Raw genomic sequence first — 24,549 nt, forward strand, 5'->3', positions numbered from 1 at the left:
AATTAGAAATAAAAGCACAATTCTACATATTGGTACATGAAGCTAGAAAAATATTCACAGCATGTTTGTAAGTTAACTTCCACTGTTGCCTTAAAAGAAAAACATGTAATAAATGCTTACCAAGTGGTCTTCTGGTAAAATACATTTTGTTCTGTAGTAACTTAGAAATATTAAAATATCTACCAGCAATTATCACACACTTTAATTAAGAAACATATGCTAATATAAAATAACTACATTAACATTACAGGGGATTTGAAATAGGGGTCACTGGTAGCACTTTGCGGTGGGTCTCTGAACCACCTAACATAAAATAGAAAATTTTGAAAACGTAGTTCTAAAACTTTTTTCAGGGCAGTTAATATTTTTTGTCAGTTTTTTTTTAATCACAGAGGGGGGTCTGTGATCTCAAAGATTAAGAACCACTGGTTTACATAGAGGTATTAGTAGATATTATACACATAATAAAATTCCAAGATAATTAATGTTTAATGCTTTGAACATTTGATCTTATACGTTAAACATGCGTGGGGAAGTATATTTATATATCAAATTATATTTCTTATAGAAAAGAAAATATGACAATATTAATATGAACAATTTCTAAGATTTCAAAATAGCTGGCACAATTTATTTCTAAAAACAAATATGAGCATAAAATAATTCAAGTATAAGTAGTAGCACATTAAAACACATTTATTTTCCTTTTCAGCTATCTCAAAAGTACTGTGACTTGAATTAGTCAAATATTAAAAACGAGTTTTTTTATAATGAATGCTAATGAAATACTATTACTGACATTATATATAATGCATGGCTGAAAATAGATAATATATATGAAAATACAGAACATAAATATACTGAATAAATAAGACCTTGACATTTTACGACCAAGAATATAATGCCAATATTATTAAAAGGATAATATAATCAATATAACCACAAGCAGAGAAATCACATTTGATATTATTTCAATGCTTAAATATACATTTTTTAAAGTTGCTTGGTACCTAGTCATTCCTTGACAATTGCAAAAAGCCATGAATAAGGAAGAGGAATCCACAAAGAACTGGGATCTCATCTTCAGAATGAGTCTCAGAGAGGAGTGCAGATTTCACAGCAATAGCTACTTGTTTCACAATTCACTTGTGCGAATTAGTTAAAATCTTTTAACACTTTTGCCTTAATTTCTTCAAAGAGAAAATGGGAAATGAATTTAATAATGTAATGCATTTATCTGCAGCTTGAAATTTAAATATGTTAAAATATTTAGATCTGAAATGCAAGTACAAGAAATACTACCCACTTTCTATCTTGTATGTATTTTCGTTAGTTATTAGGCTATTGTGCTTCAAGCCATTGACAGTTTTTAAAATATAATTTATCACCATAATACACTTTAGAAAACTTGTCTTCAGCACTACTAAAAACCCACTACACTCTGAGATTCAGATTAAGATATTCAGTCACTAATGGCAGCAGGGAGACCAAATTAGTTGATAAAATATTCACGTCCCCTTTCCAAAAATGCAACTCGAGGAATTTAACAATACTTTGCAAAAGCCCTTTACCCAGTAATTCAATTTTTTCAAGTAAATTCTAAGGAAATATGAAAAAGCAAACAAGATATAAAAAAGCAAAATCTATAATGATGTTTATTACAGCATTATTACTGTTAGTAGAATAATTTAATGTCATGAATTAAGACGAGATAAAAACACAATGTAATGTCACCTCAATAGATGGCAATACAAGAATTAAAAATGTTAATGAGGCATTTCTAAGAACATGGAAAAATATAACTAAAACTAAAAAGCAAGAAATGCTGTTTTAAACGTTGCATGATCATAAGTATGTGAACCAAAATGAGTATTAAATGACTATATATACATACATATAATGTATGTATATATGTATGTGTAAATATGTGTATGTTTGCGTATATATGTGTGTATATGTGTGTGTATATATGTATGTGTATATATGTATGTGTACATATGGGTATATTTGTATGTGTGTATATATATGTATGTGTATATATGTGTATATTTGTATGTGTATATATATGTGTGTATATGTATGTGTGTATATATGTGTTTGTGTGTATGTATATCTGTATGTGTACATATATGTACGTGTGTATATATGTATGTGTATATATATGTGTGTGTGTATATATATATGAAGATTAGAGGATAAGTAGAATAGTACATCTCATGGAAATATAATATATGATTCAGTAACTCTCAAAGCTGCATATTAAAGAATACAAAGTAGTACTTAGGAGAAAAAGGAACATGAGGATCAAAAGATCCCCAAATAAATTATTTAGAATTTGGCCATATTACAAAGGGCTAAAAAGATATACTTTTATACTCTAATACTCTTTAATATTTCCATGTTTTGTTTTACTCGGTCCCTTAAGGACAGAAGGCTTCTTTTGTATATCCAGTACAGTCTAAATAATCAATAAATATTTTTACCCAACTAACTGATCACAGCAAGATGGGCAAAGAATGAAATAGCCTAAATATTTCAATTATCCATGCCCACACTTGACATCCACGACAAAAACTACCAAGTCCTCTCATTAGTGTATAATCATTCTTTTTCTTCCAGTAATTATAATAATGCACTAAAGTTTTAAAAGTTGTCTGATATCTTAATAAAAACTAAGAAATCAGACAAGATTATATGTTCAGACAAAATAATTAAAAGTTTCTTGAAGTTTTGTGCTTTTTGACAGAGAGTTATAAAAAGATATCACAAGGAAAAAATTAATAACAGAGCTAAACAAAACAATTAAGAAAAAATCTTAAGTTACAGGGGTTCTTAAAAGTAAGTCTCAGTAAAACAGCAATATAACCAGTAAAATTAAAAATTGTTACTTTAGAATCTCAGGAAGGGTAACTATTGGAGATGATTTAAGTCAGCATCTTGAATTAGTTATTTGTGCTTGACTCTCCTAGAAAACTGCATGTGGTGACATTTTTGCCAATGCTAAATTATCTAGGCACAAGAAAGGTTTGTCAGCTACTTTTAACAGTTACATGTTTTGTTATACTTGGTCCCTTAAGGACAGAAGTAATTTCCTTTGTATATCTAGCACACGCTGGTTTTTGGATGTCAGTCTTTCTTCTTTAAAGTGGTTAAACATAAAACATTCAATTTATTATTTTGATAACTGCAATCCTTAAAATACATAATCCAACTGAACAATTATATGTTAATAGTTTCATTCTCTTCAAATATACAACACATTAAATCTAAGTTTATACTTTGGCTTCATTTCTGAGGAGAAGCATGAAAGTTGCTAGATAAGACATTGTTAAACATTTCCATCATTTATTACAAAAAAAAGAAATTGAAACATAACTTATGTTGAGAATTAAGAGGATACTAATTTCAAAAATAATGATTATAATTATTTTTTCTCTAAGATAATAAACCCTCTCTAAGGATTTAAAAGCAAAAGGTTGGTTTTTGAAAATAAAGAAATCTATGTATTCAAGTGCCACACAGCAATTTGCCTAATTACATGTTCAACTTCTATCTACATTAATTAAAACTAATAATTATGAAATAAGCATAACCAACAAGGAGATTCAATTTTTGAAAAGCAGAAATGCTAAAGGCTGAAAATGTATATAACATAATTATAAAATGGCTATCATTTATTTAGCAACAGTACCAAGGGGTTAAATAGGAAAAAGAGGGAAGAGGAAACATATCCTCAAAATTCATGTGCCAACTATTTATTACTTGAGGTCTAAGGGCAGGCTCAGAGCAACTGACAATTCAATTATTAAAGCAGATGCTCCAGGTAATAGTCCCGTAACTTAAGCAAATTTAGAGCCATTTGTGAAACAGAAAGCTATGTAATTCCATCATCAAGACTCACAAACATAAACATATTAATTGGACATAATAATTGTCCTGTTTTTCAATTTTACCTGAAATGCACATGAACACCATAAGATAAAATTTTCGAAATGATAGTAACAGTATCTGCTTCTGAGCTCAATAAAGGCTTTCATCTATTAAACGCAGAAGAGAGCTGATTCTCTGCATCCTTTAATATTTTATACTAATCTCTTATTTCTGGACAGTATTACCAGGAATACCACAAGTTTTTATTTGTAGTCAATCCCACTACTATGAAAAGTTCAGATGGAGGTGAGAGTTTTAAAGAAAATTTCATTAAAATTGACAATGGAATTCACACACAGTCAATTAACACCACAGTTTGTTTTGATTTTTAAGGATGAAATCAAGTAGTAGTTTAGGAAACATTTATTCCTGTATTTCCAGTTCTTGCTGTGCAGGCAGAAAAACAAAGAAAATAAAGTTAGAAGCATGCAGAAAGATAGATAAAACGTAATCATATACAATAAAAACCAAAGGAAGAACAATTAAGAGGCATTTTATTTTAAAGTCAAGGTAGAAAAATATTAATACATTTCTTTTGGGGGAAAGCCTGTCATGGGAGAATAGCAATTTATATATGTATATATTATCAAAATATAATCAAGTTAAAACTAAAATAAAAGCCAAAAAGCTCTTAAATTTTTTTTAAGGTTTAACAAGATCATAATTATACATAATCTTTTATTCTCTCATCTAGTTCTAGTTACTGGAATAAATCTAGATTTACAAAGTAGTGCAAATAAATTAATTTGGTTGGGAGAAATGGAAGCAATGAAGTTCCAATAATCAGCTACAAAGCAGGAAAACAAAATTAACAATGTTAACTAAATGAGCTATCACAGAAATAGTGATATAGCCTATGACTTAACATTATCTTTTCTGCACACAAAAAAAAGCTTTGCTCCCATGTAGAAAAAAAATCATCTGTAATTTCCATTTAACACATGCTAAAATGAAAAACAATCAAATTCTACTCTAGAAACTATGTATAATACTTAAAGCAGTTCAAGAATCAGGAACTTTAAGAACCACCTAGGAAATCCTGGGCCTAGAAATCATTAAAATTCCATTTCACTCGTGACCATGAAGAACAAAATTTACCTCAAGTAAGTCAGAGCCCTCAGATTCCTGTCTGTCATAAGGACGAATGATGCCATCTTCATGGATCAGGCGAGGGGGACGGAGGCTAGATACTTCCTCAGTTGATTCTGCTGCCCTGAATAAGGCATCAGAGTAAGTGTAAGAAAATACGTGAGAGTCTTTCAAAATAATGTGTGTGTTGATTAAATACATAAATATTTCACAAAAAACAATCAGTAATTTTAAATAGCTTTCCCCAAATAATGCAAAAGTATTAAAACCAAGTCTGTCTGACTCCAAATCCCCCAACCTTTTCTAAAATAAAAAGAAATATCAAAATAATAAAAGCAGGGCCTAGCTCATCTACTCTTTGTATCCTTGGTGTCTAGCACAGGGCTTGGCACATGGTAGGTAATAAACATTTGTTGAATAAAAGAGAAATTTAGCCATAAAATATGTCTCTTTTCTTTTCTTTTTTCTTTTTTTTTTTTTTTTTTTGAGACAAAGTCTCCCTCTGTTGCCCAGGCTGGAGTGCAGTGGCACGATCTCAGCTCACTGCAACCTCCGCCTCCTAGGTTCACGCGGTTCTCATGCCTCAGCCTCCCGAGTAGCTAGGATTACAGGTGCCCGCCACCACGCCCAACTAATTTTTGTATTTTTAGTAGAGATGGGGTTTCACCATGTTCGCAAAATATGTCTTTTCTTATTCCTTTCTGGAGGCACTCTATGTTTTAAAGCTACCACAGCTTTCAATTAGACTTTAAGATCCTTAGGAGCAGGCAAATAATCTAATCTATTTATGTATTCCTTGTAATAATTAGCACACAGACACATACCTTGCACATAGTATGTACTCAATTACCTCTGAATGCCTTGGAAGGTACTACTGGCCATATCTACGATTCCACCAGTTGGACGGGCCACAGCACCCACAAGCCCTTTTCCAATTCCTTTAAAGAATCCAGCAGCTCCTTCCTTTTTGGCACCTTCAGAAAACCAATGACCATGAATGGATAAAGATATTTTTAAATGAGCAAGTTTGAGCTCAACCAAAACCTGGGCCAGATACTGAACTGTTTTACCCAGGAAGTTACAAAAATTTGGCTTTCTAAAGAAGTTAAATGTAATCCTAATGTGATAAAATAGTGGTTTCTCAAAGTGTGTTAGAAATGCGCATTCCTGGGCCCCACCCCAGACCTACTGAATCAGAAACTCTGGGGGCGGGGCCAGCATTTATGTTTTTCTAAGCACTCCAGGTGATCCTGACACATGCTCAAGTTTGAGAACTACTGATCTAGGAGTCTCATCAGTACCTGCAACTTGCAGGTGTAAGAAGGGACCAGTAAACATTCTCTTTTTTAATGCTGACCGTTAGATTTTTCAAGGAGTGTGCTTTTAAAAAAATATATAACAACTTTATTGAAATGCAATTCATATACCATAAAATTTACCATTTAAAATGTACAAATTAAATTTTAGGATAAATTAGCTTTTAGTATGTTCAGACTTCTACAACTATCACCACAATCCATTTCAGAAAATGTTTATCATTTTAAAAAGAAACCCCCTTTCCATTAGCAATCATTCCCTATTTCCCCCAGCCTCTCCCCACCAAATCTTACTCAGTGTACCTCCATTCCTCCCTGCCCCTCCCCACCTCCAGACTAGGTAACCACCTACAGATACTTTCTATCCCTATGGATTTGCCTATTCTGGACATTTCAGACAAATGGAATTATGTAATATGTGGTGTACTGTGACTTTTTTTTCTACTTAGCATCATGTTTTCAAGGTTCATCCATTTTGTAACAAGTACCAGTACATGATTCCTTTTTATGACTGAGTACTACTCTAATGTATGAAAATATCACCTTTTGTTTATTCATGTATCAGGTGATGGACATTTGGGTTGTTTCCATCTTTTGGTTATTTTGAATAATGGTGCTATGAACATTTGTGCACAGTTTTTGTTTGAACACCTGTTTTCAAATCTTCTGGGTATAAACCTAGGAGTAGAATTGCTGGGACACATGGTGACTCTGTGTTTAACTTTTTGAAGCACTGACAGACTATTTTCTTCCAAAATGACTGCATTATTTTACAGTCCCACTAGTAGTGTATGAGGGTTCCAATTTCTCCACATCCTCTTAACACTTGATTCTAGCCATCCCAGTAGGTGTGAAACGGTATCTCATAGTTTTGACTCGCATTTCCCTGTCGACTAATGATGTTTACCATCCTTTTATGTGTTTATTGGCCATATGTATATCTTCTTTGGAGAAATGTCTATTCATATCTTTTGCTCATTTAAAATTGTGTTGTCTTTTTATTGTTGATTTTTAATAGTTCTCTATATTTTCTAGATATGTCTTTTATCACATATATGATTTGCAAAAATTTTCTTCCATTCTGTGGGCTGTCTTTTCCCTGTCTTCATGGTTGTCCTTTGAAGCACAAAAATTTTAAATTTTGATGAAGTTCAATTTATGTATTTGATGAAGTCCAATTTATGTATCTTTTCTAGCAAAGTTTTGCCTAATCCAAAGTCATGAAGATTGACTCCTATATTTTCCTCTGAGTTTAATGGTTTTGCTCTTACATTTAGGTATTTAATCCATTGTGAACTCATTTTTATATATGGTACAGGTAGGGGTCCAATTTTGTTCTTTTGCTCATAGATATGAAGTTGTCCCAGCAAATTTCTTGAGGACGGTTCTTTCCTATTGAATTATCTTGACATCCTTGTCGAAGATCAGTTAACCATAAGTAAGAGTCTATTTCTGACTCCTTCTGAACTCTATTTCTGAATAGTATCCCACTGTTCTATATGTCTATCCTTATGTTAGTACTACACTGTCTTAGTTACTGTAGCTTTACAGTAAGTTTTCAATTTGGGAAGTAGAAGTCCTCCAACTTTGTTCTTTTTCAAGACTTTTTTTTTGGCTATCTGGGATCCCTGGAATGGCCATATAAATTTTGGACTTGGCTTGTCAATTTCTGCAAAGAAACCAACTGGGATTTTGATAAGGGTTGCACTGAATAAGCAATGTGCTTTTTTAATGGGATAAAAACAACAACAGCAAAACTGAGTAAATTGCTACTGAGGACCCAAACAAATCTAGTTTATCTCTGGCCCTGCTAAAAATAGCATTCAAAGTCTGAAGCATGATCTACTACTTAACCTCTCTGCTTTCTAAGGAAAATACATTCATTGAGCAACTTAAGGCTACGAATATAAAATTCAGTCAGTAATTTTCTCAATCAAGTATATAGCAGCAATAACATCTACTATGTTTACTAATAGCATCAAGTCTTCAGACTTTGTAAAGGAAGGAAATATTTTCAACATACCTTCCACAGGTTTTGTTATTATTCCAGTCACTCCACCAACAACTCCCTGAAAGAGAAATCAATCATATAGTTTAGACTGAATGGAAGGTGTTTAATTTTAAACCAACCACTAGAGGTCTCTACAGACATACTGGAAATAACAACAACAACAACAAAAATTGAAGACTTAACTTGATAATGTGAACAACATACACATATAAGTTAGCACTATGATTTTTCAAATATCATATCACAGCAAATCTTAAATGAAAGCATTTTATAAATTTTATAAAAGAAACAGGAGTAAAGCAGGTAAAAGGATTTTAAATCTGGCTATGACACCAATCAGCTACGTAACCATGGGTAGCTGAAATCTCTTTAAGTCTCAGTTTCCACATCAGCAAAATGAGTGAGTTGAGCCAAATAATATTTACTATCTAATTATAAATTTTAAGGGGATTACATTGTAACTTAGTGGAAGTGTAGAAAACTGAAAATAAAGGGCCCTCCCAGGGACAGGTAATAACCTGGCAAATAAAGTGCCTTAGTAACTGTAACACCCAACATTACAAATTACTATCAAAAAACACAGCAGTTTCCTGAAATTATTTCCAAAATTAAAACATGAATATACTAATACATTTTTAATCATTATGAAGTAATGGTAGTAAAATACCTGTATATTCTATGAACACACAGAAAGAGAACTGATGGATACACACTTAAATTGGAAACAGATGAGATGATTAGGGTATTCTAGCCTTACTTATAATGTTTTATTTACTTATTAACAATAACTTTTAAGTTCTTATAATTATAAGAATATTCATACATCACCTATATAATTAAGCAGTATTCATATATTACCTATATAATTTTAAAAGTATTAAAAAGTAATGAAAGGCAGTTCCTGGATTATCAACAATTAATTTTCACACATCCCTTCCACAGAAACAGTCAATTGCTGATGACCTGCAGAGCTCCTTCTCCCTCTAGTTTCCATAGGTACCATGTATCTCTGCTTCTCACTTCCTCGCCTTCTACACCAGTACTACCCTGTCATCATTACAGTTTTATGAAATCTGACAATTCAGGGGATAGATCTGGTGGTGACAATGGGGAAGGGGAGCAAAAAGGAAACTGGGAAGTCCATCATTTATCATTCTTTCTATTCCTACAGGCCTAGACTCATAAGCAGCATTCTAAGTTTCACACAACCAGCTAGAATACACTTTTTTTTAAGTTGCAGATTTCTTAAAGATTCAGCAAAGAACTTACTCGCAGAAAGCCCTTTCCTCCTCTGGCCAGGCTGTCTCCAAAATCTCTGGGCTGTCGACTCAACTCTTCTCTTCTTTTTTGCTGATATTCCTTGTCCATTGTAATTGCTGCCAAACCTTTCCCAACAGAACCGGTGATTCGAGATACAACTCCTGCTGCACCACCTATCAAAGACAAGGGATTAATTTCTAGAATATACAAGGAACTATACAAGGAACTCAACAGCAAGAAAACAAATAATCTGATTTTAAAATAGGCAAACGATCTGAATAAATATTTCTGAAAAGGAGACATACAAATGGCCAACAAGTATATGAAAAAATGTTCAAGATCAATAATCATCAGGAAAGTGCAAATCAAAACCACAGTGAGATATTATCTCACCCCAGTTAGAATAGTTATTATAAAAAAGACAAAAAAAATCACAAACGCTGTCAAAGAAGTGGAGAAAAGGGAATGCTTACACACTGAGAGTGGAAATATAACTTAATACAGCTATTATGGAAAACAGTATGGAGGCTCCTCAAAAAACTGAAACTAGAACTACCGTATGATCCAGCAATCCAACTACTGGGTATATACCCAAAAGAAAAGAAATGAGTATATCAAGAGATGTCTGCACTCCCATGTTTACTGCAGCACTAGTGACAATAGCTAACATATGCAATCAATCTAAGTGTCTATCAACGGATGAATGGATAAAGAAAATGTGATACACACACACACACACACAAACAGAATACTACTCAGGCATTAAAAAAAATGAAAACCGGTCATTCACAGCAACTTGGATGAGCCTGGAGGACATTATGTTAAGTGAAATAAGTCTGGCACAGAAAAACAAATACTGCATGTTCTCATTCACATCTGACAGCTAAAGAAGTTGAACTCATAGAATTAGAGAGTAGAACTGTGGTTATTAAAGGCTGAGATGGGTAGGGGGAGGAGAGGATAGGGAGAGATTGGTTAATGGATACAACATCACAACCAGATAGGAGAATAAGTTCTAGCATGCTATAGCACTGTAGGGTGACTATAGTTAACAACAACTTATTGTATGTCTTCAAATAGCTAGAAGAGAGGGTCTTGAATGTTCCCAACACAAAGAAATGATAAATGTTCGAGGTGATAAATATGCTAATTACCAGATTTGATCACTACATATTGTATACATTTATCAAAATATCACTCTATACCCCATAAATATATACAATCATGTGTCAATTAAAAATAAAATAATTTTTTAAGGCTCAGAGAAGTTACATTGTTTATATAAACAGCATTATCACAATATATAGCATGCAATTGCTTTAAACTAATAGGTGCTTAAAATTCTGTCTCATACAAAAAATGCAGAAATTAACTTTTCCCATCTAACAAGAAAAGGAATAAAATTATTTAATTTAAATGTAAAATTATTTGCATTTATTCAACACTACAAAGACATATTAAAAAACCAGCAGTCTACTGTTATTTTTCATTTAAAAACATGGGAAACATGTCTTTTAAAAGGGATTATTAAGAAAGTGATCCCTCCTTTATTAAATAAAAGCATTTGTTTTTCATAACAACGTATTTCATAACAATATAATAAAAAATATACACATATACACAAATATGTGATACATACCTACTGTGTGTCCAAAGAGGCTTCTCACTCCAATCACTAACCCCTCTGCAAATTCTTCAGGGCCTTGAACAGCACCCTGGCAAAAAAAAATAAAAAATAATCTTATTATTTAAAATTTAAGTTTCAGACTTTTACTTTAATAGTTCAGGGTTTGCAAGAAGAATCCAAATCTGTAAAAATCCATAAACATTGTGATGAATCAATTTTCACTTCTACCCCAAATATGGATAGAATATCTATTGTGTTTGAAGACACTTTCAACCTACATGATCTTAGCAAATTCTTTAAGTCAAAAATTGGATAGGTATAAATCACTGGCTTCAATTACAATTTGAAGTTGGCCTCCCAGAACTAAGTTTCATCAAATTGCTAAAACAAGATGCAGTGATAACAAGAGTAAGAGCCCACAGATTTTTTTACTGTCTTATTCTCTCATTTATTTTCTCTGCTTTATTCTCCGAAAACCCTCATACACTGGGCTGGCTGCTAGACCCTTTAAATGGAGGGGAATAGGTTAGATGACAGCTTGAATATGAAACAAACTTTGCTTTCAGTGCCCTATTAGTCCCTTCCACAATGGTGGAACAGTCTTGAAAGTCTTAATCTACCCAGCACTCTAAATATTCTTACAACTACATTAAATCCTGGCAAATGTGGGCAGCGCTCATTAAATTCTAAACAATCATCCAATGTTATCTCATGTACCTTTAAATAAAAATATAAAATTGATATACTTTTGTGATTTGAACATTATTCAATTCCAAGATACAATTACAATGCAAATTACTATTTGTTATTAAAAAATAGACCATCCATTTTTCTGTACCTATCCTTAGAACAAATAAGAGGTCAATACCTGGAAGGGTTCATAGAATAAAGCTTCAACTCCTTCAGACAGACCTCTAATTAATCCAAATGGGTTTCCAAGTACATCTAACCCCAATACAAGGACATACATCTGTTTCAAGAACTAAAAAAGAAAAAAAATTAAATTAAGTCCTTCACAACTATTGTAAGAAACATCATAATGAAATAGAAAAAAAGAGATTTACTGATAAAATTAAGTTTGTGTTAAAAGAAAGCTGTATGGAATAATCACCACTACCTCCACTAATGGATCTTTTACTGTGTGCCAGGCACTATGCTAATTTAAACAGCTTTTAAATTAGACAGAACTAGGTTTGACGCACAGGCTGCCACGTAGCAGTTATGTGACCCTGTGCAAGTCATTTAGTATCTAACAGCCTGTCTTCTAATCTATAAAATGGAAGGTCAGGCTGGGTGTGGTGGCTCATGCCTGTAATCCCAACAGTTTAGGAGACTGAGATGAGAGGATCACTTGAGGCCAGGAGTTAATGACCAGTCTGGGCAACATAGTGAGACTCCGTCTCTATAAAAACTCAAAATTTTTTAAAAAGGGAAGTTACACTGTCCTTGCATGGGTGAGTATGCATATTAAATGAATACATAATTCAGTAATTGTTAGTTTTTTTTAGTATTACTTTACCATCATTATTAATAAATTAGATGGAAAATAATAACCAAAACAAAAAAAAGGGAAAACATATCCTCATTTTAACATGTAACAATCATAATGTCTGTATATGTAATAGGAGAAAGAATATTCCAGCAGTGGAAGGAAAGGAGATGTCACCATGCAGTTCCATGGTATAGCAATTGTACCAAAGTGACCTGCAACAACTACTGTTTCTATGCATACATACTTGAACCACAGAGTAACTGAGGCACAGGGAGGAAACCGGCTTAGAATTCTGCTTGCAGTTCACTAGATTATATTCAGAAACTATAATCACTGAAGAAATCAAGTATAATGACTATAAAGTCACTATTCTTTCCCAAAGTGGTAAAAGTATAATTGCAAAGTCAAAAAAGGAACTGGAGGAAAATTTTCAAAAGGTGTATAAAGAGGGGTTGAACTAAAGAAACAGAAATTAATCATTGAAGAAAGCCACTAAATACGGAGATTTCAAAGTGAGATAAATTAGATAAACATTACTGCACACTATACAGTCACATGCAAATGTTTTGATATTTTATGAAGTATATTCCTTATGAAATACTATGATAGGAAATTACCTGTTCACTGTAATGCCTAACAACACTCCATATAAGCTGATCTCTCTTGTAGAACTGATATCGAATTTCATAATAAGCAAGTCTGGGAGGAGAAAAAGGAAAGATTCAAAGATACTAATATTATATGATAAAAAAAGAGACTTAAAATTTGAATGACAGCTAATGCTAATCATAGCCAATTCTTTCACAATTGACTTCGTACATTTACCACATACAATTTATGATTGTCTTAATAATGGTTACTAAATTATTATAAAAACAGTGCACAAGTTTTTCATATATGCATAAAGAGTTCTTTAAAAGTCAACCATCATCCCATCACATAGTGGATTTTAAAGGTTTATTTTCGTATTTCGCACTTAGAATTCTTTCTTTTATATGCAATGATAAAATGTTTAAAACATTTTGTATGCCCTGTTTACACTCAACACTGTGGAAAAGTATTTCTCTATGTTATTTAAAACTTGACATAACCATTTTTAACGGATGCATAGCATGCTACCATGTGGCAGTGTCGTAACAAACAATTCTTCCACTGTCAGACATTTCCAATTTTTGCTAAAATAATTAATGATGCCATGCGTATGTTGAATATAACTCTTTGGTTGAACTTCAAGGTTAGATTACTTTTTGGAAAGAATTTCCAAAAAGAGAACTACTGAGTGAAAAGCAACAAAACATTGAAGGCTCCTAACAAATGCAGTTTTCCACTTATACCAACAGTATTTAAAAAGTACCTATTTCTTAGAACCACCCCTGACTAGTATTAAATAGGATTTTAAAATAGAATCGCTCATATTTTAAAATCTTTGATAATTTGCTTTAATTTGCATGTATTCTTTGATAAATAATAACGCCATCACTGTGTTTTCCCTTTTGCGAATTATCTCCTATTGTTCTCTGGCCATTATACCGTTAGAATCTAGGTTTTTCTTCTCAATGTTTAATATTAAGATAACAGTCCTTTCTCTGTCATTATATTTTCCCAGGCTTTTGTTTTTTAATTATTTTCATTGATTTTGTTGTAAAGTATTTGATTTTTATGTGGTTAAATGTATCTTTTATTTTCCATTGAAATGTTTTCCACTGCTTTTAAACTTAGAAAGACCTCCTCTATTCAGAGATTGGACTTTTTTTGTCTTTTCAGTTTAGGTTTTATATTTTATCATTCGTTTCCTCTGAAATTTAGTAGTGTACATGTAAGGTAAAAATGATCTACAGGGAATTTTTTTTCACCCAGATAACTACTTGTTCCAATACCATTGTTGAATTTCAATTCAATAACAATTTATTTAATGCATATGTATCTAGCATTACATATCTCTAAATATAATTATGTTTTAAAATATGGTTAATTTATAATATATGACTAAAAAATTCAATTATTATTCTACATCCATGTATTATCTAGATATGAGTAATCAAAAAAAACAAAAAACAAGACTCTACACCTTATCATTATGAATACAATAAGCATTCCTAAAGAGTATAATCACAAATGAACCAAATTCTCCAAATATAAGTAGTAAAGTTATCCTTTTCCTAAGCTAACATTGCACAAGTGGAGAGAATTAATGTCTAGAAACATGACCTTGGTACACCTGCTTCTCAATGTACTCTAACAGAAGTCTTACTTGAATATAAGGTCATCCACATCAGTCAGAGTAGCACCTATGCTTTTCAACAGCAAGTTGACAGAATGAACTGCAAACATTTCCTGTTTTTCTTTGTCTGATTCTTCACCTCCGGAACCCAAAGACAAACTCAAATGCAACTAAAAGAAAAATAATGTTCAATAAATGAAAGCTAAAAGTGAAAAATTTACATATTTAGGATCCAGGTAGTCCAGAAACAAACCAAAAAAAGTCTTTCGATTAGAGTCCTAGTGAAAGCTATTATTTGATACCACACATTATAGCAGAACAACCCACTTACATTTGATTCTCTTTGCTTTTTGATAGAATACAAATTAGTCTGATCCAAAAACAGAGTTCTAATTTTATGCAATGTATATAAATGCCATTGCATTCATATGAGGGAAACCGACACACTTTACAAAAATGGCGTAATCATTTTAAGAAGAAAAACATGTAAACTGGCACACAAGTAATCTGCCAGTCAAAATACAGATAATAACAATAACATGACAATTAAGGTAAGTTAGCAAGCTGTCAAGTTTTTAAAAGTATAATAAGGCTTTCAGCTTCCACAGATCCTCCAACTTAGTATTTAAACATGAGATTTCAGATTCTCATTTAGCTGCTACTTTGAACTGAACCATCATTAGTGCAATAGTGCAAGAAGACATAGGCAAAAAGTAATTCAATATGTGTAAATAAAGTAGATGAATTTCCTTTCTCATTTTGTCATTTCCTAGGCATATTAACTAACCAATATAGAGTTCAAGTAAAGTGGACTTGGGGCAACGCCAGGAAAGCCTGTGGTTAGTTTTTTCTTTCATGTGACCCTCTGCCCAAATGACGAGTCTGGGAGTGCTGGGATCCAGGAAAGGTAACCACAGGTAAACATTAATCCAGCCCTTCCCTAGGGCAATGTTACTTATGGGCTATGAAAATAATTGTTGTTCATAATCTTTGCCATTAGACTTCATGGCACAATTCCCACTGTGCCTAAGAACACGAATAGGTAAATTATCAATCATTAATATCCCCCTAGAATATAATATCCATGAAGCTGTTTTATACCTCCACAGCAACTTTCATAATAAGCATTCAGTAAATACTTGTTTAAGGTATTGTTCAATCCCACAAATAACTGATTTTCACTTAAAAGTGAAAAAGAAATGGTATATTACCTATCACATAAAACAATATCAATTTTAAACCTGACACTATCAGTATGTCTGATATCACCAAACTAATAGATCAATTTAAAATAATAATTCCATTTTAGAAATCCATTCATTTAGCTGAAGGACTGGTAAATGCAATTGAAAGTAATGTGCTGTAAACAGTTTTTGAGAATGTAAAGGATCATCAATATTTTAAAGAGTTACTTAATTATAAATCTGGCCCATTACACAAGTTTAGAGCATTATGGTTGATAGCATTTGTGAATTTAAGAATTTACTAAGCAGTCACCTTCTCCTATAAAAGCTAAAAAGAACAACAAAAGGGAAAAAAGAAATGGGTTCATAAAGTACAACATCAGGCAAGTGAAAGGTATCCAATTTTCCACTCCCTTAGTTACAAGCAAATTTTGGAAGGGGGGAAAAACACCACATCAACAGTATAGTACCTACTTCAGCGTTTTCACATTCTGGTTACAGCACCCATTATAGCTCTCTGTTTAGACAGTGATAGTAGTTACAAAGTGCAACCAAAACATTAAACGTTGGCAAGCACTTCTACGCTTAATTAAGAAACGCTTTTGTCAGCTTCTTCTTTGAATAAGGGGGTTATTAATTCAAAACTGGAGAACATGCTCTGGTGGTTTCTCTGTGGGAATTGTGGCTGCACATATGCTACAGAGAACTGTCTTAATTATTTCGATTAATCAAACAAAATTCCCACCAAATACATGATGCAACAAATTAAAACCTACCTTGGTCCACAGACCCTTTAAAAAGTTCTACAATAATTTCACTAAATTTTCAAAATAATAATTACAACAAACCTTCACAGGAGAAATATGGAAATGTTCAAAGAAACTAAGAATTGACATATCAGTCATTGAAGTCTCCATTAATTCTGCATTTAGAGCATCAATATCTTGTTGGATTAACTTTGTCTGAAAAAAATAAAATCAAGAATTTCTATTTTAATTTTTTTCTCTATTAGAATTCGTTCAAAAGAGGCTGATTTAAATTTTGTTAATTTTATATTTTCCCCAAGAAATAAAAATTTTTACCCGTCTTCTTTCAGCTTCAGGGTCTGTTGTTGGGGTAAACAGTGCAATAATAGCTCCTAGAAACCCTTGATCAATTTTTAAGGCCATTTCCTGAATGAGGACCATAAAATACCTAAGAAAAAAAATTTAAAATGGAAAAGGATTTCTACCAAATCTTTTAATTTTCAATGTTAAAACTTTGATTTCAGTGAAAAGCCACAGTTATATCTTGTTCCTTCATCTCCTAAAAATTATGTTAATAAGATCAAAGTCTTCTTAGATTGAGACTTTTTCACTGGAGTGAAAGCTTCACTCAAGGTAATACTGCTGCATTAACACTTAGCAATTACAGTCCCAAATGCCACATTCGTCATGTCACAGATGAAACAAATACAACCAGATCATGTAGCATGTATGATCCAATTTTTAAAGTTCACAGCAATTACATTAAAGAACACAGCTCACAAATACATATCATTTAGATTTCACTTACTATTTTATATTCTAATTGAAGTTATAAAGGGAAGAAGATGGTTGAAGAAATTCTACACTTTAAAATATGTAGAGACTACTACTAAAATAAGTTGAAGCATAAAAGATTACTTGACCAAAAGTGAATTAATAGGTTCAGCTGGAAAATACTTTTTACATGAAAGTCACTTTCAAAAAGAGTAAGATTTATTTTCAAAGTAGATTCTCATTTTAAATTCTTTTAGAGAAACAGCAGGAATCTTCACTTACTTGAACTGTAAGACTTTACTGTACTCATTAAATCTTGTGATGACACTCACATCAATGAAAGGCTTGGGCTCTAAGAGGAAGAAGTAACACATAAAAAAAAATAATGCTTTATACTAGGTTAAACTAATGCCTATTTAACTTTTATAAATAAGGTATATCTATGTCACAACTTATTTTATTTTACCTGAATCTAAAGCAATAGATTTTGGAGGGGCAACAGGATGAAATACAACAGGGAACATTGCACCTGGTAACTGATTATCAACCTGAAAGAAAAGAAAACGAACTTATCAAGATTTCAAATAATTTAAACTTTTAGTTTCAAAGATAATGTTATAGAAGAGGCCACCACTTTCATCATAATTAAGTGTCTGCGTGTATATGCGGTGTAATTAGAAGTTTCATTTTAAATCTGTAAAAGTTACATACCTCAGCAAGGGCAAGGCTTTCAATAAAGGACTATATAAATACTCTCATAATTGTATTAACAGTGTGCAGTATGTACATCATTAATGAAAATACTTGTATCTATGGATCCTGTGAGATTTCAATTCTCTATGGTTTAAATAAAAGTTGAAACTGAATATGAAATTAGGGGATAAGAGAAAAAGAAGAAGAATTAAAGTAGCCTAAACAGTACTTAACAGCTAAAAGGAAGGAAGGGAGGGATGCTGGGAGAGAGCAAGCAAGCATCCAAAAGGAACCTCCAGCAAAGCTCTGCTCTCTGTCCTGAATGACGACAAAGGAAAATCTTATTTGGGGGTCCCATGACAAATTCAAAGGAACATTTAAGAATAACAATCTCAGTGCAAGAAAACCCTTTTGCAGGCTAATCGATCAAAATTAGTCTTAACAGTCACGAAGTTTATAAGTAAGATGTTAAATAAACAGGATATGTGGAAAAAGGGGAAAAAACATACAAACAAAGAAAAGATACCAATTACAATGTAAACTATATAGTTGTAAAAAAGAAATTTCATTCCCAAGATTCCCAAAGTGATGATAAATACTTATTTGAGAATGACAATGTTACCTGAAGCCAGTACAACCTGGCCCTTAAACTTCTCTGGTGAGAAGACTGCTTAAATTCAATCTGAATTCCTGATAAAAAGTCTCGTTTAATAGGGCTACGAATAGGGAGGCGCATTTCCATTGGATCTTTATCAAAATTGACCTAGAAAAAAAGCACATGTTTTTGTGATGAGCTGATATTAGCACAGTAGCTATTCCATTTTTAATATCTGTTTATTGATCAAATTGAAAAAATCTTTATCTTTATGTCTCACCAACAGATCTATCTTAAGGTGATCTACAGTTGAGATCTCTGAAGCAAAAGCACCACTTTTCTACCAGTTATTAGAAAAAAAAGATCGTGAAACTTTTCAAGTATAGAAACTATAGTTTTAAAAACATGCTTTATGTAAAAGAAAACTTCCTCAAGTAACGAATAGTTCCAGATAATTCTTTCTTTCCTTTTCTTTTTTTTTTGAAACGGCATCTTGCTGTCACAAGTGCAGTGGCAAAATCACAGCTCACTGCAGCCTCAACCTCCTGGCCTCAAGTGATACTCCTGCCTCAGCCTCCCAAGCAGCTGAGACTACAGATGTGACACCATGCCCAGCTAATTTTAATTTTATTATCTTTTTTTTTTTTTTGTAGAGACAAGGTCTCACTATGTTGTCCAGGCAAGTCTCAAACTCCTGACCTCAAGTGATCCTCCTGCCTCAGCCTCCTAAAGTACTGGGATTACAGGTGTGAGCCACTGCACCTGGCCCAAAGATAATTCTAAACAAACTCTGTTTTGCAATCAATAATTGAGAGCTTAGTCACGTCTGACATGAATTATATAGTTTTTTATCATTTAAGTATGGCCAAAATTGGTGGGGGTGCTGGGGAATGTAACTGGTGACAGTGCTAACCAAACCATCAGGCAACAATGACAAAGAGTAACTAAACTGCATGATTAAACTAGAGCAAGCTGGAAATTGCAGTCAAGCTTCTGTAGACTTCCTGGAGCACAGGTGACTTTTAGTCTTAACTGTGTAAGGGCCTAGGTGGAGTGCATCTTTATTTGTGGATGCCTACTCAGGTCCAACAATCACTCACATTTAATGAATTTACTTGAGCAGCTTTTTGTAGGTTTTTCCTCAATGAAATATGTAATTTTACACGGTCTTTATTTAGCAATATATATTGGTGTCATTCAAAATATAACAAAAATTTCAATGAGGCATTCTTAACTTCTCCCTAATCTTTCTGGAAACAAGTTCCATAAGACTATCTGATTTGTAAATAAAATTATAAAAATATAAAAATGTAATAAAATTATTAAAACACAGGTTTAAATCCTGTTTCACAGTATATTATTAAATAACAATATATTTTAATTAAAAATATACTAACGTGTATCATTAGACACGCCAATCCTATTAAGAAATAAAAGTTTATCTACCAATAAATAAGTTCATTTCTGCACATGTCTTTACTTGGGCATTACAATTTTACTTACTACCACCACCAAGAAAATACACATATAAAAATCAAAACAAAAGAATTTTGGTATACCTCAAAATTATTATCTAGCTTAATCCAGCCATGGTCTCTTGATATTTGATGTTTCTGATAGGATTGTTCCAATAAGATTATCTGCTTTTGACTAAATGGCTTCCATTTCTGCTTTGGTTTCACCTCCCAAACAACACCAGAACTAAATAATTCACACAAAAAAATTAAATTAGCAATATGTATTTAGGTCTGTGGAACTTTATTCAACTCCAGATTATTGTAACTATTATTTTCCTATGAAAATTACATTGGTATAAGGGACTTCTTAAAATAACGAACTATACCTGTGTTGCAAGAGTACAAAAAGAAAAGAGGCAGGCAAGAAAATACTTTTTCTATCAACGTTGACATCAACCAACTAAGGGACTGGCAAACTTTTTCTGCAGAGGGTCATATATTAAATAGTAAATATTTTAGGCTTTCTGGACTGAGACAAAATTCAAGTTATTAGATAGGCAACTTAGATACCAAAGAGAGAAAAAACTCCCATAAATTTTAATTGATGAAATTTAGAATATAAAATAATTAAGAGCAATTCTTAAAAACAAGTCTATTAATGAAAAAAAAAACTTCTTTTGTGAAAGTAACATGTCACTTAGTGTTATTTATTACCAAAATCTATTGTAAATGTTCATCTATTAATGGTAATCTGTAATGAGCATCTTTAAAAATGCCATTTCATACAGATAGGTGCTGCCAAATACTGATATTGGTCAATGAGAATTTATTATTTTACTTGAGCATATATATCACTTGGAAGGCATTCATAAAATTCTATTAAATTCTTCTCTTGATATTTGCCTTTTAGTATATTAATACATTACAGGTCAATCACTTCCAATTCAAAGTTAGGTAGAAGCTCCTCAATTGCACAAATGAATTTTGAAATGTGGAAATTTCCTTACACCTGCACTGAGGTCAGAAAAAATGTTGCTGGAACTGGAGTTGCAGGCCTTAAAATATATCCTCTCCAAATACATGTGGAAGTGGAGATTTTGCTTCATGTTTTAACCTTGGACAGCACAGGAAGTACATGGAACATCTTGATACTACCTGAGATTCAAACATTAGCTGTCTTCAAAATTGACTATACTGTAGTATAAATTTTTCACATAAGCACTGTTTGTCTTCTAATTTTAGCTTGAAATTCATTAAAAAACATCATCAATTCTGCAATTATGCAACAAAAACTAATTTCCAAAGCCACTATTATTGCATTATCAATTCTGCAACAAAAATTAATTTCCAAAGCCACTATTATTGGTGTTTAGTCATAGTGGTTGAGGGTGGTTCTTTTTGTTCAAAAAAATTTTAATCCTGGCCCAGAACTCAAAGAGTACAATAAAAAGTTACTGCTGCTAACCCATCAAACTGCTGTGTGGTAACACAAGTAAGAACATTCAGCTTCTACTTCTCGTGAAAATTCACAGAACTGATGATAGTTAAGTCCACATGAATTAATGAAGTTAACTATTTGACACTAATGGTTTGGTAACAAAAGGTGGACTGAAATATTTTCCACTAAGTACCTGCTCACAAATAATACAATAGGCTTTAAATGCTTTACATTTTCACTAGCTTTATGAATTTGTCCAACTAAGTCTTTTTCTGTTCCACACATATTTTTCCCATAATCAGTTGTATCTATCTTCAGGTTGTACTGAATTAGTATTTCTTTCGCTGGTTTGAAAATATTCTCACCTGTAGTTGTCCTAGGCAAACTATTTATACAGGTTAATCCTTTAGTCACTTCAGACTCCGTGCTGACTTCTCAAATATATAACTGAGCAGTATTGGTAACATCTGTTGACTCATCAAGAGCCAAAGGAAACCACTCAATATCATTTGCCTTGTTTTTGTAATTGACTATTGAGGTTGTTCTGAATGTCTTCAATTCTTTAAGCAACTGTTCCTACTGAAAGGCTAATGGCCTTAAACGAGTTCATTTTCTCTGGATACATTTCTTTAGCTGCTGCAATCAGACACAATTCAATTAACTCACTATTGGTAAAAGACTTTCCTGGCTTAGCTAACAAGTAAGTCACTCAGAAACTTACTTTGCTTACAGCCTCATTATTGTTTTTTGTATTTGTTAAGATATTCCGTGTGATGACATATTTTGCCTTAAATTTTCTAATTTTTCTGGCCATTGCTTTCCTGTGATTTGAAAATGTTACGGTAAGTGCTTAGTTTGGAAACTATACTGTCAACATATATTGCATTACTTCAGCAGAGCTGTAGTTCCATAACATAATAAAATGATGCTTTTTTTAATAAGAAGATCATACACATTTCATTATGCCCTAAAAGATGAACATTCAAAGTTCACTTTTCTCTTGTTTTGATATGACGGATATATATCAGTAAAATAAAAAATGCTGCAGAACAATATGCACTAACTCAAACATGCTGTGATTTGTAGTGCACTGAGTAGCAATGTCAAAGAAGCCATGTAAAAGAACAGAAATCACTGTGTCCCAACAAAACATTATTTATGGGAAACAAACTGAATTTCATACAGTTTGTACAAAAACAGGCATTGGGTTAGATTTGGCTCATAGGCCAAACTTTGCTGGCACCTGAATTAGAGAATACTAAAATCTATAATATTTTATTTCACATAGCTTGTTTCTATTAGTCAATGATAGTGTTAACAATGTCCTAACTATAAAATGTATTTAGAGGATACCAGTCAATGAAGGCACTGAATAAAATATCTACTACAGACAATATAAATCCAACATTATTTATGATAAAAACTCTGAGACAACTTAAAGGAGAACTTCCTCAACTTGATAAAGAGCACCTACAAAAAACTTACAGCTAACATCATAGTGAGAAACCAGATGCTTTCCCACCAGGATTAGGAACAAGGCAAGTATTTCCACTCTCAACCATTCCCACCTCAACATAGTACTGGAAGTCCAAGATGTGATAAGACAAGAAAATAAAGCTGGGAGTGAAGAAATAAAGTGTCAATGTTCACATTTGACATGACTGTCTAAACAGAAAATCCCAAAGAATCAACCAAAAAATCCTTGTAACTAATAAGCAATTATAACAAGATTGCAAAAATATAAGGTTAATATACAAGTCAACTGCTTTCTTACATGCCAGCAATAAACAATTGAAATTTAAAATAAAAACAGAATACCATTTACATTAGCACCAAAGAAACAAACACTTAGGTATAAATAAAATCGAATACAATGTGTATGTGATCTAAGTGAGGAAACTACCAAAGTCTTTCAACAAATTATGTTGGAACACCTGGACATCCATATGCAATAAAGCAAATCTAGACACAGAGCTTCCATCTTTCACAAAAAATAAACTGGATTAGACTTAAATATAAGTTTGAGATCAGCCTAGACAACATGGTGAATTCCCATCTCCACAAAGAAATAAAAAATATCAGCCTGGCATGGTGGCACGTGCCTGTAGTCCCAGATACTCAGGAGGCTGAGGTGGGAGGATTGCTTGAGCATAGTTGGCAGAGGTTGCAGTGAGCGGTGATTACACCACTGCACTCCAGCCTGGGCAACAGAGTGACACTCTGTCTCAAAAATAAATACATACATACATATATAAAAATAAATAAATATAAAACACAAAATTACAAAACTCCTAGAAGATAATAGGAGGAAATAAAGCTAACTTTCGGTATAGTGGAGACTTCTTATATACAACACCAAAAGTACAATCCATGAAGGAAGAGAATTGATAAGTCTGAGGTAAAATATAAAACTTCTGCTGTTAAAAGCAGTTGAGAGAATAAAAAGATAAGCCACAGACTGGGAAAAAGTATTTGCAAAACACACATCTGATAAAAGACTGGTATCCAAAATAAACAAAGAACTCTTAAAACTCAACGTTAAGAAAATAACCTAATTTTAAAATGGACAAAAGATTTGAACAGGTGGCTCAGGAAAGAAGACATACAGATGGCAAATAAGCATATGAACAGATCCTCAACATCATGTATCATCAGAAAACCGCAAAGTAAAACAATGACACACTACTATATCCTTATTAAAATAGCTAAAATCCAA

General features: G+C 32.4%; 1 protein-coding gene and 1 long non-coding RNA gene across 6 annotated transcripts in view; one reads left to right on the forward strand and one right to left on the reverse strand.

The window, feature by feature from the left end:
* Positions 1–15,863, forward strand: part of LOC124903501 (uncharacterized) — a 44,799-nt gene extending 28,936 nt beyond the window's left edge. The window contains exon 3 of the long non-coding RNA XR_007064668.1: positions 15,720–15,863. This is a non-coding gene — a long non-coding RNA (uncharacterized LOC124903501). The remainder of the gene's footprint in view (positions 1–15,719) is intronic.
* Positions 1–24,549, reverse strand: part of VPS13C (vacuolar protein sorting 13 homolog C) — a 208,059-nt gene that overhangs the window by 11,242 nt on the left and 172,268 nt on the right. For 2 of the 5 annotated variants that reach the window (NM_018080.4, NM_001018088.3), the window contains 15 exons: positions 20,498–20,639; positions 18,966–19,106; positions 18,117–18,198; positions 17,933–18,002; positions 17,213–17,324; positions 16,979–17,092; positions 14,977–15,116; positions 13,343–13,424; positions 12,102–12,215; positions 11,246–11,321; positions 9,616–9,779; positions 8,359–8,404; positions 5,870–5,993; positions 5,029–5,143; positions 676–4,317 (listed from right to left, as the gene is read on the reverse strand). In NM_018080.4, coding sequence (NP_060550.2) covers positions 4,294–4,317; positions 5,029–5,143; positions 5,870–5,993; positions 8,359–8,404; positions 9,616–9,779; positions 11,246–11,321; positions 12,102–12,215; positions 13,343–13,424; positions 14,977–15,116; positions 16,979–17,092; positions 17,213–17,324; positions 17,933–18,002; positions 18,117–18,198; positions 18,966–19,106; positions 20,498–20,639 — 1,546 coding nt within the window. In that variant the 3' untranslated portion in view covers positions 676–4,293. Of the gene's footprint in view, positions 1–675; positions 4,318–5,028; positions 5,144–5,869; positions 5,994–8,358; positions 8,405–9,615; positions 9,780–11,245; positions 11,322–12,101; positions 12,216–13,342; positions 13,425–14,976; positions 15,117–16,978; positions 17,093–17,212; positions 17,325–17,932; positions 18,003–18,116; positions 18,199–18,965; positions 19,107–20,497; positions 20,640–24,549 lie in introns of those variants that run through there. The other 3 variants (NM_017684.5, NM_020821.3, XR_007064464.1) reach the window with 2 other exon arrangements.

Source organism: Homo sapiens, chromosome 15 (genome assembly GCF_000001405.40).
Source record: "Homo sapiens chromosome 15, GRCh38.p14 Primary Assembly".
Classification (NCBI taxonomy): Eukaryota; Metazoa; Chordata; class Mammalia; order Primates; family Hominidae; genus Homo; species Homo sapiens.